This window comes from Homo sapiens, chromosome 17, assembly GCF_000001405.40.
Source record: "Homo sapiens chromosome 17, GRCh38.p14 Primary Assembly".
Lineage (NCBI taxonomy): Eukaryota > Metazoa > Chordata > Mammalia > Primates > Hominidae > Homo > Homo sapiens.
Genome location: NC_000017.11, coordinates 20,879,677 through 20,898,437, shown reverse-complemented (window position 1 = coordinate 20,898,437; position 18,761 = coordinate 20,879,677). Strand labels below are relative to the sequence as shown.

General features: G+C 40.3%; 1 long non-coding RNA gene and 2 pseudogenes across 3 annotated transcripts in view, besides 3 other annotated features; 2 read left to right on the top strand and 1 right to left on the bottom strand.

The window, feature by feature from the left end:
- The window catches only part of CCDC144NL-AS1 (CCDC144NL antisense RNA 1), a 61,515-nt gene that overhangs the window by 31,604 nt on the left and 11,150 nt on the right, over positions 1–18,761 (bottom strand). Inside the window, exons 2-3 of one of the 2 annotated variants that reach the window (NR_160710.1) lie at positions 10,589–10,846; positions 6,006–6,208 (exon numbers count right to left, since the gene is read on the bottom strand). This is a non-coding gene — a long non-coding RNA (CCDC144NL antisense RNA 1). The remainder of the gene's footprint in view (positions 1–6,005; positions 6,209–10,588; positions 10,847–18,761) is intronic. The other variant, NR_104185.2, reaches the window with a different exon arrangement.
- Positions 1,875–2,390: an enhancer, noted in NCBI's record as "H3K27ac-H3K4me1 hESC enhancer chr17:20799361-20799876 (GRCh37/hg19 assembly coordinates)". NCBI's record gives its function as "activates a minimal SCP1, AML or CMV promoter by ChIP-STARR-seq in primed H9 embryonic stem cells {active_cell/tissue: H9 hESC(primed)}" and the evidence as "EXISTENCE:reporter gene assay evidence [ECO:0000049][PMID:30033119]".
- Positions 2,275–18,761, top strand: part of CCDC144NL (CCDC144A N-terminal like (pseudogene)) — a 32,769-nt pseudogene continuing 16,282 nt past the window's right edge. The window contains exons 1-2 of the transcript NR_164128.1: positions 2,275–2,761; positions 4,976–5,046. The product of NR_164128.1 is annotated as a CCDC144A N-terminal like (pseudogene) (transcript). The remainder of the gene's footprint in view (positions 2,762–4,975; positions 5,047–18,761) is intronic.
- RNU6-1178P (RNA, U6 small nuclear 1178, pseudogene) lies at positions 3,800–3,906 on the top strand (annotated as a pseudogene).
- Positions 4,950–5,450: an enhancer, noted in NCBI's record as "H3K4me1 hESC enhancer chr17:20796301-20796801 (GRCh37/hg19 assembly coordinates)". NCBI's record gives its function as "activates a minimal SCP1, AML or CMV promoter by ChIP-STARR-seq in naive H9 embryonic stem cells {active_cell/tissue: H9 hESC(naive)}" and the evidence as "EXISTENCE:reporter gene assay evidence [ECO:0000049][PMID:30033119]".
- Positions 5,451–5,951: an enhancer, noted in NCBI's record as "H3K4me1 hESC enhancer chr17:20795800-20796300 (GRCh37/hg19 assembly coordinates)". NCBI's record gives its function as "activates a minimal SCP1, AML or CMV promoter by ChIP-STARR-seq in naive H9 embryonic stem cells {active_cell/tissue: H9 hESC(naive)}" and the evidence as "EXISTENCE:reporter gene assay evidence [ECO:0000049][PMID:30033119]".

Here is an 18,761-nt window from a genome sequence, read left to right as displayed (position 1 = left end):
GAGTTTTGCTAAATCTGTAACATCCTGAGTAGCACACTAATTTTTTTTTAGCACACTAACTTTAACTACATTAGTTGAGTGTAATTGATACATCTGTGGCCTCATGTCTATAAAGAGCACACTAGATTGTACCCAGCACTTTTGGACATGACATGCTAATTATATGTATTTAACTATTCATAGGAAAGTGTATGATAAATGACTAATATTTCTAATAAATACATTTTGTTTCTAATTATTTTTTTCTCACTGACATTTATCAATATTTTTCAAAGTGCCACCCTTAAACTGAGTCTGTTTTCAGACCAGCATCTTCATGCATATATCCTTGTCAGGTCACAGTCTCCACTGCAGCTGCTCTTGCGGGTGGTGCTGGAATTTTCCAGTGGACTGGGCTCCTGCTGGTTCCTCCGCTGCCCGTGTGCAGCTTTCTTGCTCTGGCCACAGGCTTACGTGAAGATCACCCTTCAAGGCCTACCCAGGACACTGCTGAGCTGTGCAGTTGTGCACACGATATGTGCAATGTGTGACTAAATGCCAACTGAGACCCCAGAAACCACTCGCAGGGGGAATTATGCCAAGATTGAGGAGGCAGGGTGAAGATACTTTTTTTCTTTTTCTGTTTTTTTTTTTTTTGAGATGGAGTCTAGCCCTGTCGCCAGGCTGGAGTACAGTGGCACGATCTTGACTCACTGCAACCTCCGCCTCCCGGGTTCAAGCGATTCTTTTGTCTCAGCCTCCCGAGTAGCTGGGACTACAGGCACGTGCCACCACGCCCAACTAATTTTTGTATTTTTAGTAGAGAACAAGGGGTCACCATGTTAGCCAGGATGGTCTTGATCTCTTGACCTCATGATCTACCCGCCTCTGCCTCCCAAAGTGCTGGGATTACAGGTGGGAGCCACTGGGCCCGGCCGCAGATACTTTTGTAAATGATTGCTTCCTTACCACTTCCTAGTTCATGTTTTCTTATACATAGTTACATTTCTTCTTTGCTATACTAAAAATCCCTAATTTTAGTTGGTCAGAGAGACGGATTTGAGACTGAGCTCCCATCTCCTCGGCTGCAGCATCTGATTAAAGCCTTCTTCCTTTGCAATACTCATCTCAGTGATTGGCTTTCTGTGGGTGAGCAGCGCAGGATCTAGGCTGAAGCCCTGAGCCTTCAGTGACAAAATCTGTTTTTCATAATGCGATCTGTCTTAATTGTCCTCAAGAATTAGTATTTGAGTGCTCTCTAGCTTCTCCTTTGTCACGCTTCCTTCCTTCCTTTCTTCCTTCCTTCTTTCCTTCTCTGTCCTTCGTTCTCTCCTTCTTTTTCTTTTTTTAAGACGGAGTCTTGCTCTGTCGCCCAGGCTGGAGTTTGGTGGCACGATATCAGCTCACTGCAACGTCCACCTCCCGGGTTCAAGCGATTCTCCTGTCTCAGCCTCTGGAGTAGCTGGGACTACAGGTGTGCGCCACCACGCCCAACTAATTTTTGTATTTTTAGTAGAGACAGGGTTTCACCATGTTGGCCAGGCTGGCCTCAAACTCCTGACCTCAAGTGATCTGCCCACCTCAACCTCCCAAAGTGCTGGGATTACAGATGTGAGCCACCGCGCCCAGCCGTCACTTTTCTTCAAACTCACTGGTGCTCGCGGGCTGAAGGGTCAGGACGGACTAGAGGCGAGCAATCCCGGTGGCACCAGGCATTCCCCGACCCGCCCGGGTCGCCAGCTGCACGGACCCTGGGCAAATGCGCGCAGCGGCTGCGGCACAGGGCGGGGAGCGGCTGCTCGGCCCCATCCTAAGGCAGCAGAATGCCCAAAGCTGGTCCCTGGCTCCGGGCGCAGGCCAAGTAGGAGCTGGGCGGGCAGCGGCGTTGGGCAGGCCCTTCCAGCCGGGCTGACAGGCCGCTCTGACCCAGCCATCAGACTCCGCTTGCGTCCTGGCAGCGCCGACCCTAGGGCAACTTCGCTGCAGTGGCCAAGCCGGGGGCGGAACTGGCCCATACCCCTGAACCGAGCAAGCCTAGGAGCAGGTGCACCGGCGGCGCTGTGAAGCAGCACTCATGACAGGCAGGCTGGGCGCCGCCACCCCCAAACCTCCGAGGGAGGACCAGCCGGCCCAGGTTGGCACTGGAGCTGCAGCACCACCTGCAGACCAAGGAGTCTTTTTCTGGGAGGCTGGAGCTGCAGATGCAGTGAAGGCACAGGTTCAGTGACGTCAAAGGTGCGCAGGCGCACTGGTGTGTAACGGATTGGCTTGGCCTTACCCGCGTGGCTTGGCCTTACCCGCGAGGCTTTGCGGTGGCTGCTTGGCGTGGCAGTGATCGCTTGGCTTGGCATTTCTGGCTTAGCGGTCCTCCTTTCGCAGATTGGAAACCGCGGGCTATCCTGCTGGGAGGTTGTGGCCGAGGCAGTAGCTCGCTACTGATGGCCTCCTGGGGTGGAGAAAAGCGGGGAGGGGCTGGGGGGTCTCCGAAGCCGGCAGTCTACGCCACGAGGAAGACCCCTAGTGTTGGGAGCCAGGAGGACCAGTGGTACTTGGACTACCCGGGGGACCAGTGGTCCTTGGGCTTCTCCTACAGCTGGTGGAAGAACAGCGTCGGCAGCGAGAGCAAGCACGGTGAGGGCGCCTTAGACCAGCTCCAGCACGATGTCCGCCTGGAAGATCTTGGCGAGCTCCACAGAGCTGCCCGGTCGGGCGACGTCCCTGGGGTGGAGCACGTCTTGGCTCCTGGAGACACTGGCGTGGACAAGAGGGATAGGAAGAAGAGGTAATGGCCAGGTGAAGGATGCGGGCGCGCCGTCCTGTCAGGGACACTGGCTTTCTGGTGCCCACAGGCCCCACGGCACCCGGGATGGGGAAACGTCAGAGGGGTCAGGGGCCCAGGCCTCTTAATGAGATGGGATCAAATATAAATGATTATTACTATTGCAAAAGTGTTCGTCTACTTTACAGGAGTTTTCTTTAAAAATATTGCACTTCCCAACTGTGTTTATCCATTTTCTCAATTTATTCATCAAACATAAGCTGAATACCTATTGTACAGCAGACATATTCTACTGTCGCTCAGGTTCCTTCCATCCTTAAGAACTTCATGTTGGCCGGGCTCGGTGGCTCATGCCTGTAATCCCAGCACTTTGGGAGGCCGAGGAGGGCAGATCACGAGGCCAGAAGTTCGAGACCAGCCTGACCAACATGGTGAAACCCCGCCTGTTACGCTTTTGTCTCAGCCTAGACTTAGCTAAGACCTTCATGATAAATTATCCTTTAGGCCCTCGGGGTTCAGTTCAAATAATGTTGCAGAAAGAGACGAGTTTCCTTTTTTCATTGCTACCAGATCTGTATGCTGAGGACCCTTTTCTTAGATCGTGGAATGTCCCATATTATCCTTTCCCAGATTTGTGGCAGGAAGCCCTCACCAGAATTCTGAGTCTCAAGTATGTTAGTTGGATTTAACAGAGCTAAGTCTCATCCATGACTCATGAATATCCATGTATAAAATGAGAGCTTTGGCAGGGTGCAGTGGCTCATGCCTGTAATCCCAGCAATTTGGGAGCCTAAGGTGGGCGGATCACGAGGTCAGGTGATTGAGAGCATCCTGGCTAACACGGTGAAACCCCGTCACTACTAAAAAATACAAAAAAAAATAGCCGGGCGTGGTGGTGGGCGCCTGTAGTCCCAGCTACTCAGGAGGCTAAGGCAGGAGAATGGCATGAACCCAGGAGGCGGAGCTTGCAGTGAGCCGAGATCACGCCACTGCACTCCAGCCTGGGTGACAGAGCAAGACTCAGTCTAAAACAAACAAAACTTGCTTCAGCAGCAAACATATACTAAAATTGGAACAAAATGGAGAGAAATTAGCATGGCCCCTGCCTGCATAAGGATGCACAGATTTTTGAAGTGGTCCATATTTTGCGCAGTCACTAGAAGTTCATTTGACTATTTGCTGACTAGTTCCAAAGACAGTGTGAGTCAAAGCAAACTGGGTATCACCTAATATTAAAATTGTGATTTTTCACTACAAAAATATGCAGTAAGGTGATCAATGGAGCTGAGTAACACGTGGGATGTTGTGTGCAAATATATTGTCAGTATGTATCTCAGAAATGAGAGAATGTCAACTTGCATGTCTTTCGTGGAACTGAAAAAAAAAAGTAGAATTTTGTTTTCCATGTCAGTTGGAGATGAACACGGGGATTGAGCATCCTTCTAACAAAGATCTGCCGATTCAGAGTTTGAGTCTGTATGGAACAGTAGTCCAAGCTAGGTCTTGACATCTATTAGCTTTCTCCCCTTGGCGTGATTGATGAGCTCAGTAATAGTGGACAGTGTTGTTATCTAGTTTGGTGAAATAATATATTTATAAGTAAATTTAGTTACAAACTATGAACTAGCTGTGATGCCCCAAATTATAAGCCACAAAGAATAGAACTAATAAAACTAGAACTTAATAACAGTTTTGGAAAACTGCAACATTTGAATATTAGAACCTCTGGAAAAAATAGACATTGGGTTTTATTTGTGATTCCAAAACCATTTCCGCAATAAACCTCAAGAACAAATTATTTCATTGCTTCACTGTTCCTCTGAGCATTTACAAAACGTTTTCTTGTTAAATCTTTAACAACCTAGTGAAATAAGGCAGTAAAATCCTTGCTTTTTAGAAGAATACATTGAGCCTAAGAGAAGCAACTTGTCAGAGAATAAATAGCTGCTGGTAATAGAGCTAGGATGCTTTCCATTATGCCAAGCTAATGTGAGTTAATTTACTGAGCTATACTCCCTTCAATTCATGAGTACTTCATCTTTTTTTCTTCTTCAGAAGCTTAAAGAGAAGTTGGTAGAACTCACAAATTGAAGTATATGGGATAATTAAAGTTCTGATATTAACTCTGATATTGTTTGAAATGCTCTAAAAATTTAATATATTTGGTATTTTTCATTTGTTTTAAAATAATTTCATTTATTACATTTTTATCCATAGCATTCAGCAACTAGTTCCTGAATATAAGGAAAAACAGACACCTGAAAGTCTTCCTCAAAATAACAATCCAGGTAAGACTTCTGATAGTGAATTATTTTTGGTGGTCCTACCATGGGTAAAAAAGAAGTAAGAGTAAGGAAGTTTTGATCATGAAAGAGCAGTTTTAAAAAATCTTTATTTCTTTCTTGATAGGTTAGATTTCTTGGTAGGTTAGATGTCACAATTATTTAAAAAGTTAATTGTAGGTCATTTATTTTTTCAAACAATCTGGTCTGAAAAAAAATTAATTATGGTCCCTAAAATTCTATGTGATATTTTTGTATAAATAAGAAAAAGATTTTTTTTTTTTTTTTTTTTTTTTTTTGAGACGGAGTCTCGCTGTCGCCCAGGCTGGAGTGCAGTGGCGCGATCTCGGCTCACTGCAGGCTCCACCCCCTGGGGTTCATGCCATTCTCGTCTCAGCCTGCAGAGGAGCTGGGACTACAGGCGCCCGCCACCCCACCCGGCTAATTTTTTGTATTTTTAGTAGAGATGGGGTTTCACCGTGTTAGTCAGGATGGTCTCGATCTCGTGATCCGTCCGCCTCGGCCTCCCAAAGTGCTGGGATTACAGGCGTGAGCCACTGCCCCCGGCCAAGAAAAAGATATTTTTGAGTTAGTAAGTTGTATGTTTTCTTTATAGTCACATTATAATGAATTAGACTTGTTATGAAATTGGAACTTCTATTTAATTTTTAAAATAAATGACTTATGTTTAGTAAATGAATATCAATCACAATTGACCCTTAACAATGTGGAATTTAGGGATGCTTGATTCCCTCTGCAGTCAAACATCTGTGTATAACTTTTGACTCCCCCAAGAACGTAACTACTAATAGCTAACTGTTGACCAGCAGCCTTATTGATAACATAAACAGTCAATTAAGATATGTTTGGTATGGTATATGTATTAATATGCTGTATTCTTACAATAAAGGAAGCTAGGAAAATAAACTGTTAAGAAAATCATAAGGCAGAAAAAATACACTTACTGTTCATTAAATGCAAGTAGATCATTATATAACTCTTCATCATAGTCTTCAAGTTGAGCAGGCTAAGGAGAAGGAGGAAGAGGAAGATTGGTCTTCGCTGTCTCAGGTGGTAGAGGTGGGAGAAAATCTGCTCATAAGTAGACCCCTGCAGTTCAAATCCGTGTTGTTCAAAGGCTAACTATATTACATAGTGATTTGTGTCACTGAAAAAAAGAAATTAGTTTCAAAACTGGAAACTCAGCAATACCTTTCTGGCACCATAAACAAATGGCAATAAGAACTGTGAAATGGCCAGGTGTGCTGCCCACACCTGTAGTCCCAGCAAGTTGGGAGGCCTAGGTGGGAGGATCGCTTCTGTCCAGAAGTTCCAGACCAGCCTGGGTGACATAGTGAGACCACATCTCTACAAAAACAAATACAAAATTAGCTGGGTGTTTTGGTGCACACCTGTAACCCCAGCTACTTGGGAGACTGAGATGGGAGGCTCGCTTGAGCCTGGGAGTCAAGGCTGTAGTGAGCTGTGATCATGATCACAACCTGGATGACAGAGTGAGACCCTGTCTCAGAAAAAAACAAAAACAAAAACACAAACAAAACCCTGCCAAACATACCCAATGTGCACTAATACTAATGGGAAATTATTTTTTAAAGATACCTTCTGAGTGCAGAAGTCAGAAAAGCAATTCCTTGTTGAGAAGAACAGGTCATGTTACATACTTATAAACCAACAAGGTGTCACTATTATTGACTTTCCCCCAATTTGAAATCGAATGAGGTATATTTACTTCATTAGAACAAGATGTGTTTTTCTACCTGCTGGTTAATTGCTGTTAACAGTAATTTTGTTAGAACAAGATATGCTGTTACCATTAGCCAAAAGATTATCATAATAAATATTCAAATAGCCCAACTCTAGGCTCAACAAATTATAATGAAAGTATAAAAATGTTTCACAATAACAAAAAATGCTTCTGTGCTTCCAAGATGTGATGCCTAATGCATTGGACAATCTGAACTGTAAGGGGACACCTTTAATTTAGTACATATTAATCAAAGAACTTCTGTAAGTTAGGTTTTGCACGTTATGGGAGACAAACATGAAATAGACATAGTTTTGGTCTTTGAGGTGCTCATAATAGAATAGAGCTTTATTTAATTTCTGTGTTTTTTTCAACAGAATTTTCAAGGAAATCATTTATTCATTTGTCCACTTCACAAATAATTATCAAATGTCTTTTAGTACTAAGCATTTTTTTTCTAATGTTACAGAATACAGACATTTAAAAATACTGTTGGGGCCAGCACAGTGGTGTATGCCTGTAATCTCACCACTTTGGGAGGCTGAGATGGGAGGATCACTTGAGCCCAGAAGTTCGAGACCAGCCCGGGCAACATGACAAGACCTCATCTCTACTAAATTTTTTAAAAAACAATAAAACATTAGCTGGGCATGGTGCCAGGTGCCTGTACTTCCAGCTACTTGGGAGGCTGAGGTGGGAAGATTGCTTGAGCCTGGGTGTTTGAGGCTACAGCGAGCTATGATCATGCCACTGCACTCGTGTCTGGGTAACAGAGTGAGACCCTGTCTCAAAAAAGAAAAAAAAAACCAACAAAACCCAGGAGCTTGTTATTATCATTGTCACTTTAATTATTTGATGAATTATTTATTCAGTGCCTACTACTGTGTTAGATGCCCTCTGGAACCGTATAGTGATCATTTACTATGTTAAATATGTGCCAGACACTTTATGTGGTGAGGAATGAAAGCTGTAAAAAAGTGGGTAAGATTTAAGGTAACCATGCAGTGAGTAGAACTTTTCCAGGTAAAGAGGCAGAAGGATGATGTGGGCAGAAGATTGTGTGTTTGGCAGAAGGAGCAACAAGTGTGAAAGTAAGATGCTTGAGTGAAATTTGCAGGGTTTATGAGCAGTTCAGTTTTGCTAGTGCAAAACATATGAGATGCGAATGTTGGGAATGAAGTGAATACCTAAGGCAAGCTTATGACAGACTTTGTTTTTTGAGACAAAGTCTCACTCTGTCACCCAAGCTGGAGTGCAGTGGCATTCTCTGGGCTCACTGCAACCTCCACCTCCTGGGTTCAAGTGATTCTCATGCCTCAGCCTCCCAAGTAGCTGGGATTATAGGCATGAGCCACCATTCCCAGCTAATTTTTGTATTTTTAGTAGACACAGGGTTTCAGCATGTTTGACAGGTTGGTCTCAAACTCCTGACCTGAAGTGATCCACACGCCTCAGCCTCCCAAGTGCTGGGATTACAGGTGTGAGCCACCAGTCCCTGCCCAGACTTTTTAATACTATAGAAATGAGTAGATCTCAGGCTAGGTGCGGTGGGTCATGCCTGTAATCCCAGCACTTTGGGAGGCCAAGGCGGGTGGATCATGAGGTCAGGAGATCAAGACCATCCTGGCCAACATGGTGAGACCCATCTCTACTAAAAATAAAAAAACTAAAAAAATAAAAAATAATTAGCCGTGCGTGGTGGCATATGCCTGTAGTCCCAGCTACTCGAGAGGTTGAGGCAGGAGAATCGCTTGAACCTGGGAGACGGAGGCTGCAGTGAGCCGAGATTGCACCACTGCACTCCAGCCTGGGTGACAGAGCAAGACTATGTCTCCAAAAAAAAAAAAAAAAAAAAAGAAACTAGATCTTTTCCTGTAGGCCATGGGAAATTTACCAGGTGGAATGCTTTGGGCTGAAAATGCTAGATGACCTAATTAACAGTGGCTAAAACAGTAGGGACCAGAGTTATTTTGACCGTTCAGTGATATCAGTGTTTTGTTCATGTCAGTTTTCATGGCTAATTAGCAACGGCTCCAAACATCATGGTCTCACCGACAATATCTGAAGGCTGAAAGGGTGGCTTTTCTTTACATGTTTCTTTTAGTTAGGGAGAAGACTCGGAAACGTGCAGTTGACTTCCTGTAACATTTTATTGGCTGGGTCCTACCACATGCTCATTCCTAAACCAGGCACTGGGGAAGCAAATGTAATTACTATGATGAGCTTAGGATAATCATTTCTTCTTTTGGGTTGGTAGGGATATTGGCATGGCAAATATCCAAATAGACATGTGTTCCTCCAGCAAGACAGAGCAGGGACTCACTATTGGGTAGGGAGACAGCAATGTTTACTGTAGGGATTCATTGGAGTGGGGAGTCACATGATTAGATTTGAGTATTAGGGCATTCTGGTTATGGTATAAAGCAGGGATTGGCAAGCATTTTCTGTACAGGGCTTTTTCATGTGGTATGTCATTCCTACTCAACCCTGCCATTGAAGTATGAAAACAGTCATAGATAAGAGGTAAGCAAATACGCATGACTGAGCTCCAATAAAACTTTACTTACAAAACTATAAGGCTGATTGGATTTGCCCCACAGTCTATAGTTTGCTGACCCCTGATATGGAGGGTAGCTGGAAGATAACCACATAAAGAGACAGGGAAACAAAGGAAACATTTGCAGTTATCAGAGCTATAGTTTCCTTGTGCTGTCCTCAGACTAGTGTCAGTCTGTTGTGAGGTTTTCACCCATCCATGGTGAAATCAATAAGGTTAAGGAGCTCAGTTATTCCTTTAAAAATGTTGGTCTTTTTCTTGGCATGATGCCTTTTTCATTTATTTTACTTAAGCTTTTTTTTTTTTAAGAAATAACATTAATAGTTGTTTTTTCCCTATAAAAGCCACTACTTAAGAGCCCATGTTTAACTAGGAAATATAAACATAAAATAAATGTGTCACAGTGGAAATATAAAGCAGATGCAGAAAAGAGGTACAGTTAATATGATTTAGTGACTGTTGAATGTAAAAAGATAGGGGATAGGGAGAAATCTCAGATGATTCTCAGGTTTCTGGCTTGTGCCCTAGCATTTAACCTGGACACGAGGGAGTAGGCAGTTTTCAGGTGTATAGAGGAGAGCGTGGGTCAGCAGCCACGACTAACAGTTTTCTCTGCATTGCTGAGTTTACTGAAATGTCCATGTGGGATATTTTCAGTAGGTAATTGCATAAAATTTTTATGGTTGGAGATGGAACTCGGAGGTTGGAGTTGCAGACTTGGAATAACGGAGGCAAAGTTGTAGATCTGAGTGAGCTTATCCATGATGGGAAAGGTATAGAATGAGCAGAGGGCCAGTGACAGAACCCTGGGAATATCAGCATTTCCCAGAGGAGTTAGGAAAGAAGCCTGAGCAGTGGCTTAAGTAAAAGGAGAGGAATCATAAAGTGATGCTGCAAAAATTTATGAAGGTGAGAATTTCAGGGAGGGAGTATCAATTCTAACCAGTAAGATTACTGAAAAGTGAGTTAACTTTTTAAAAGCTCTCGGTGGCACTCTCTTCTAAAGAACAATCATAGAGTTGTGGGGTTCGCTGTTTATGTGATCAGTACTTCCGGTGTTCAAATGTGGAAGAATACACCTACCAAGATCCTGTCTAACTTTTGTAACTGCAGCAGCTCCCTATACAGGATCAGGGAAAATGGTCAAGACGTTGAGTTAATGTACCACCATTTTCCTAGAATTGTCTAAACCTAAGGTCATTTGTGAGGAGAAGTGTCTTTCTTACCTGCTTTTTTGTGGAAATGCTTGTTTTGTACTCAAGTCCTTGATAAGCTCTTCTGAATGCATTCCCAAACAAACATCTGACAGCAACAACTGGAAGCCACTACCAGATGCACGTATATATCCTTCCTCTGACATGGAATCGTAATACAGCCATGTTGTGACACAATTTCAGGTTTCGATTAGAAATAGTTTACAGTCCAGCAGTTTCGACAAACTGACATTGTAAAAATATTTTATTGCAGGAAACTAATACAATGTCCTGGAGAAGAATATAAAGTGAAATGCTGAATATAGTAGTTCTCAGTACTTGGGGAATACTGGTCACATCAGTAGAAAAATCAGTGCCTGACTCTTTTTATTAGTGCAGTTCCCTTTTCATTTTATCCCCTTGTCGTATTTCTGCTCTTACTGCTTCCTTTTGCATTTCATCCCTAAAGAAAATACTATTAGAACACATTTCAAATGCACTTCTTTATATCTGCACCACAATGATACAACGATGATGGTCTGCCAAGATTTTAAGTGTCTTCTGGGTTATCAAATACAAATTGTTTTATCTGACATAGTTTAAATGTGAAGTGCTTTTCTGGTATTATATTTCTTCAGAAATTGGTAATCTGTGATTTAACTAGAATATATGGTCAATTGGATTACCACAATTTTAACCATCTATATATAAGATAGACTCTTCTCCCTGCCAGATAAGTTAAAACTCCTATTGATCCTTACTGATCATTTCCACTATTTGCAGGAGTTTTTTTTTTTTTTGGACTTTTTTTTGAACAGGTGTGATTATAGCACACTGCAGCTTTAGTTCCTAGCCTCAAGCAATCGTTCTGCCTCAGCCTCCTGAGTAGGTGGAACAACAGATGTGTGCTACTGAATTGTTGGCCTGCTGCACAATTATAATAAAAATGAATTAAACTCTACCGAGTGGGAGAAAACTGTGATCTTTTAATTTTTTGTTCCAGAAACTTTTATACTGTAGAACGTATTGTCAATCAAGATTTTCTATTTTTTAATTGGGTTAAAATAGGATTGTTGATTTTTAAAATTACTTTCTGACATCATTGTTTCATGCATTTTTAATGCTGTTAGTCCAGTGGATATAGAAGTACAGGAATCTCCAAGGCAAACATCAAAAACTAAATAATAAGCAGATTAGGGAAAGGTATTCTGTGAAATAACCTTCTGATTGTAGTCACATATAACACATCAACTTAAACAATAAAAAAAATTGTATAATGCAATTGTATCAGGGGTTCCCAAGACCATCCTAGGTTTGGTAATTCACTGAGAAGGACTCACAGGACTCAGCAGTCAGTCATACTCGGGGCTTTCATTTATTATATTTAATACAGTGAAAAGACACAAAGTAAAATTCAAGAAGGGAAAAGGTGCATGTGTCAAAGTCTGGAGGAAGCCAGGCACAAGCTACAGGAGTCATCTCCTGTGTAGTTAGCAGGATGCGCTTAATTCCCCCAGCCTCAAATTTTGACGACACATGTGCAATGTTGTCTACCTTACCAGAGTTTCATTAGAGACTTAGCATCCATGTTTTCAACGGAGGCTAGTCACATAGGCCACCTCTTCTCTCCCTCACATGTAACAAAATTCTAGACTCCCAGGAAGAGATTAACTGTTCATAGTAAACCACATTTGCACAAACAATTTAGGCACAGTGAGCCATTCCCTTCTTCTAAGTTAGGGAATGGTGGGAACCCTCTCAAATTCAAGGTCCCAAACACCAGCCAAGGACTAGCCTTGCAAGCAAGCCTTTCTAAGGATGGATGTCTTGTGCCTGCTATATGAAATCTTTGCTGCCCAGCAGCTATGGCCCTGACTAAATTTTTGATGTTATCTTAAAATTTTATGTAATATAATAGCAAATATTATGATAGACCATAACATGGTATTTGTTTCAGTTGCATCATTCATGTTAAGCAGCAAGGCTGCTTACAGTTTTGACATTTGGTGAATACTTAACAGGTATTTATGCATAAGTTACTATGGCAATATTAAGTAATTATAATCTGTCCTTCTTACCTGATTAACTTTTCAGTAAAATTGTGGGATAAAATAGGCATAATAATTTCTGATTTAAAATTAGAATAAAAATTGTCTTTCATTTTATTTACATGGATGGACCATTTTTGATTCATATTGTATTAAGTCCCTGTTTATAATTATGAAATAAGATTAGATATTCAATTATTTTTATCAATTTTTTTTGCCTAAATATGCAATTAAAATTAATTGCTTTATGTGTTTTTATATGCTTCAATTTGGGAGATAGTACTCATATTCTGTTACCTTGATCTTTAGTGATTTGCAGTTTTCAAGGTGACTCTGTCTTTTTATAGTTTAGGGTAATAGCAAGTTCAGTGAGTAATTTTTTAAAATTAGTAACATTATTTTCCGAGCAGTCTTAGATTCACAGCAAAACTGAGAAGGTACAGAGACTTTCCATATTCCCCATGACCCCTGACATATGAATAGCCTCCCTCATTATCAGTACCCCCCATCAGAGTTCATCAGTTACAGTTGAGGAATCTACCTTGACAGACACATCACTCCCAAGGTCCACAGTTTACATTAGGGTTCACTCTTGGTGTAGTATACTCCATGATATTGGACAAATGTGTAATGGCATGTATATACCCTTGTAGTATCATAGACAAAATAGTTTCACTGCCCTAAATATCCTCTGTCCTCTGCCATTTTGTTTCTTCTTCTCCACTGGCTTCTGGCAACCATTGTTCTTTTTGGCGTCTCCATAGTTTTGCTTTTTCCAGACTAGTCATATAGTTGGAATAAAACAGTGGATATCTTTTTGAATATTTAAACAACAAATTTCCATAGTAATTGGATTCTGTCATTTTAGATGTTCTTTGTCCTTGCCTTTGTTTTTCTCGTGTTTTGTTCATCAGAATAGGATCTGATGACATATGACTTGACGTGCTGAGAAAGTGTGATTTCTGTAGACATTTGCCATGTAACGGGGAGGGTGGGGAAAAATGGCACCATGCAGTATTCCACAGCACTAACTGGACCATCGTGCTCTAGGAGATGGGTCCAGATAGACTTTAGCGATGGGACAGGATAATCTCAAGAGCTGGTCTTTATAAAACTGGAATCACAAAGTCTTGCGTACTTACCTTGCACTTAAAAAGAAGATCAGGCAGTGAATATTACAGGTGAATAAATATGTTCCTCACTGGTTCTCTTCTTTATAGGGATGAGCTTGAAAACAGTCTATATTATTATAACATGGCTCATCTGTAACTAGATGCTCTGTCATAAGAAATACCAGTGTTTTGCTTTACAAGAAGTGAAAAATAATTTTGTTTTCACCGGAGACAGTTAACAACTGTTGGCACATTCTGGCAGCTTGATTGATAGTTCTGTTCATATATATTTTTCATATCAGGTAGTTTTTCATATTTATTTTTCATACACCGTGGCAGTGTTTCTTCTTAAGCTTCTCACTGAATGAATGGTGTGGCTCAGAATGAATAAGCTCTTTATGGGAGTGATCTTTCCAGTGGTTCTGTCCATAGGAGGTAAAATGGGAGGTGAATTTGAGCCTTGTTTGTGCTAGGGAAAATAGCTAGAACTCAGTAAACATTGCCAGCATCTGCCCTAGAAGATGATTAGTGAGAGTGAGTACATTGATCTCCCTTGAGCTCTTCTCCACTGGCAGCTCAAAAGTCTTTGCAAAGATCCTTGTCCCTGGTCTCTTCCCTATGTTTTGCCATATAACACAGCACAGCACCCATAGACCTACACAACAAAATGTACAGTTTTCCCCCCTTATCCATGGGGATATATTCCAAGACCCCCAGTGAATGCCTGGAACTGTGGATAGTACTGAACCCTAGATATGCAGTGTCAGGATAGAAGGAAAAGGATAAGAGTAAAAGGGAGAATAAACAATGTGGAAGGCAGAGAGTACAGGGAGTAAATGAAGGGAAAAGAAGCAGTTGGATATGATGGAGGGTGGTAAAATGAGATAATACTTCAGAAAAAGGAAGAGTGGGTATTAGGAAGGTGGAAATAATATAAGACAAACTTTACTTGCCAACATGTGAGTTGTGCTTTAAGTTTAATTGTTTCATCATAGTGTGGCTATACTGATGATTTAAAGCCAGTCAGATATTCTGGTTAGCAGATCATGTGTGTGTGTATTGTGGGGGTATCTTTGATTATCAAAAATGAGGAAAGCAATTAATCACTCCTTAATAACTGTATGGTGGACACAGTCTTTTAAAACACTGATTCTGAAACTTTTTGGCCTGGGGCTCCTTTTATATGATTAAATATTATTGCCTAGAGGTAACCAATACCCTGAATTAAGCATTTATCATGTCCATTCCCTTATAAAACATTTTATTACATATGTGTATGGTCATAAATAATAAGTATAATTTGTTTTCATGTCCTAAAAGTGTATATAAATTGTTGTACACTCTACATATTTTGCAACTTTCTTTTGTCTGGACACACATTTTTGAGATCAGTCCTTATTGACACAGGAAGCTCTAGTTTTCTATCAAATGACTGGATCTCAGTTAAACTGTCTTCATAATGATAAATAAATAAATAAAATAAAAATGATTGCAGATTCCAAAGAGCTTTTGTTTAAGTCAGTTGTATCTATTGATATTTACTATTTTTTTTATTATACTTTAAGTTCTAGGATACATGTGCACAATGTGCAGGTTTGTTACATATGTATACATGTGCCATGTTGGTGTGCTGCACCCATTAACTCCTCATTTACATTAGGTATATCTCCTAATGTTATCCCTCCCCCCTCCCCCCACCCCATGACAGGCCCCAGTGTGATGTTTCCCTTTCCTGTGTTCAAGTGTTCTCATTGTTCAATTCCCACCTATGAGTGAGAACATGCAGTGTTTGATTTTTTGTCCCTGCCATAGTTTGCTGAGAATGATGGTTTCCAGCTTCATCCATGTCCCTACAAAGGACATGAACTTATCCTTTTTATGGCTGCATAGTATTCCATGGTGTATATGTGCCACATTTTCTTAATCCATTCTATCATTGTTGGACATTTGGGTTGGTTCCAAGTCTTTGCTATTGTGAATAGTGCCACAATAAACATACGTGTGCATGTGTCTTTATAGTAGCATGATTTATAATCCTTTGGGTGTATACCCACTAATGGGATTGCTGGGTCAAATGGTATTTCTAGTTCTAGATCCTTGAGGAATCGCCACACTTTCTTCCACCATGGTTGACCCAGTTTACAGTCCCACCAACAGCATTAAAGTGTTCCTATTTCTCAACATCCTCTCCAGCACCTGCTGTTTCCTGACTTTTTAATGATCACCATTCTAACTGGTGTGAGATGGTATCTCACTGTGGTTTTGATTTGCATTTCTCTGATGGCCAGTGATGATGAGCATTTTTTCATGTGTCTGTTGGCTGCATAAATGTCTTCTTTTGAGAAGTGTCTGTTCATATCCTTTGCCCACTTTTTGATGGTTTTTTTTTTTTCTTGTAAATTTGTTTGAGTTCTTTGTAGGTTCTGGATATTAGCCCTTTGTCAGATGAGTAGATTGCAAAAATTTTCTCCCATTCTGTAGGTTGCCTGTTCACTCTGATGGTAGTTTCTTTTGCTGTGCAGAAGCTTTTTAGTTTAATTAGATCCCATTTGTCAATTTTGGCTTTTGTAGCCATTGCTTTTTGTGTTTTAGACATGAAGTCCTTGCCCATGCCTATGCCTTGAATGGTATTGCCTAGGTTTTCTTCTAGGGTTTTTATGGCTTTAGGTCTAACATGTAAGTCTTTAATCCATCTTGAATTAATTTTTGTCTAAGGTGTAAGGAAGGGATCCAGTTTCAGCTTTCTACATGTGACTAACCAGTTTTCCCAGCACCATTTATTAAATAGGGAATCCTTTCCCCATTTCTTGTTTTTGTCAGGTTTGTCAAAGATCAGATGGGTTGTAGATATGTGGTATTATTTCTGAGGGCTCTGTTCTGTTCCACTGGTCTGTATCTCTGTTTTGGTACCAGCACCCTGCTGTTTTGCTTACTGTAGCCTTGTAGTATAGTTTGAAGTCAGGTAGCATGATGCCTCCAGCTTTGTTCTTTTGGCTTAGGATTGTCTTGGCAATGCAGGCTTTGTTAATGTTAATAAGGAAATTAAGTTAATAAGGAGATTTAATGAGTGATTAGTGGACAATTATCTTAGTTCTTTTCACAAAATTAGAAGACTTAATTTTTAAAACAAATTCAAAATCTTTTTTATATTTTAATATCTTATCCACAGCTTGGATATGAAAACTTATTTTTTATATTTATACACTCTAGTTTTGAGTTACCTTTGTACCATAATCTATTATGGACAAAAAATAAAAATACTTATAGAATACAAAATTTGAGAAAGAATGAAACATAATCCTTACCCCTTCACCCTTTCTGAAAAAAATTATAATAGCAAGAATGATTATAAAAATGCGTATGTAGCAAAAGAACTATTTTCAAATCCTGATTCTATTGCTGATAATAAGGATATGGCATCTCTTTGAAAAGAAGATAACTGTGGCATTTTAAAAATATAGCTACGAATACTTTGAATGTCCTCACATCAAAGGGTAGACATCATGTTTCTTCCCCCTGAAGTCAGACAGGCTGTGATTGCTTAAACCAACTCAGCGTTAAAGTAATTCTATGTGACTTCTGAGGCAAGATTATTAAAGGCAATACAATGACCCATTAACTGAAACACTCAGGCAAGCTACCTGTATGATTCCATGCTGTGAGGAAGCTCAAGTTACATGAAGAAGCAATATTCAGACACTCTGGTTAAGAGATTATTTTGAGCCCAGCCTTTAAGTCATACCAATGCAGGAGCCAAACATGTAAAGAAGCTTTTAGAAGATTTCATTGTCCAACGTTTAATTCATTCCTAGACATCTAGGACTTCTCAGAGGCCCCAAATACTGTATACCACAGAAATGTCACCCCACTTTGCATTTTCAACCCCGACCCCAGAATATTTGAGGATGACAAAATGGTTATTGCATCATGCCACTGAATTTGAGTAGTTTGTTTTGCAGAAATAACTAGCAGAGGCAATCACAAATAGAAATGCTTTCTTTCTCCACAGTTTGGCATACCATCACAAAAAGGAAAGAACAGAAAATGTGGCATAGCACAAACCTGAGTCTTCCATTTGATAGCTGTAAATTTTGGCAATTGGTATTTAAATCTTGGATGATATTCTCATATTCTGGGCATTTATGAAAGGTTAAATTAGATAGCATAATTAAAGTATCAGACAACTGTGATTTCAACAAAAAATGCATAGTTATTTTATCCCTCCCCTTATTATTAAATTTTAATAGGTCTTTTTATGGGTGAAACATTATTGCTAGAAAAGAATTTCAAACTATATAAATGAGAAAAAAATAATGTTTGGCTTTTTTGAAATTAAGGAAAATTTAATAGTGCAAGAGGTATTGGTAATGTAGTCTATAGACATAAACATTTCATTCATTTTAATAAATACATGACTGTCTCACAGAAAGAATGTTACAAAGTTTGAGATACACAGGTAAATAAGAGTTGAATTTCCAGTCCTCATGGAATTTACAATCTAGCAGGTAAATAAATGGGAACCACAAACAATTTTTAGCCCGATGAGTTTTTAATATAGAGAAGACCACAATACTATGGGAATACAGAGCAGCAAAATTTGCCCTTGTCTCCTCGAAAATAAACCATTAAACTCATTCAAAATAATAGTAGCTAGTAAATATTAGAGAAGTATGCCTTGAAGAAGCAATAGACATAAAAGCTGTGAGAAGAAAGAATGCAGAACGTCTTAGCGAAATCGAGAGACAACTAGTGTGTTTGGGTCACAGACACCAGTAACGGCACGTGACTGGAGAGAGGTCAGGGCTATACGAAAAGGACCTTTAGTAGATTACAGAATTTCTCTTAAAGGCAATAGTATATTATTCAAAGGGGTTAAGCAAATGATTTCAGGTATCTGTTTTAAAATGTCAGCTAAAGAATGCACAATCTATATGACTTTCCAGAGTAAAACTCTTAGGGATTTTCATACTTTTTTTTCCCCTTTTGATGCTCATGACATACCCTCACATTCAAAAAAGGTTTGGGCATTATTCTATATTTATACAA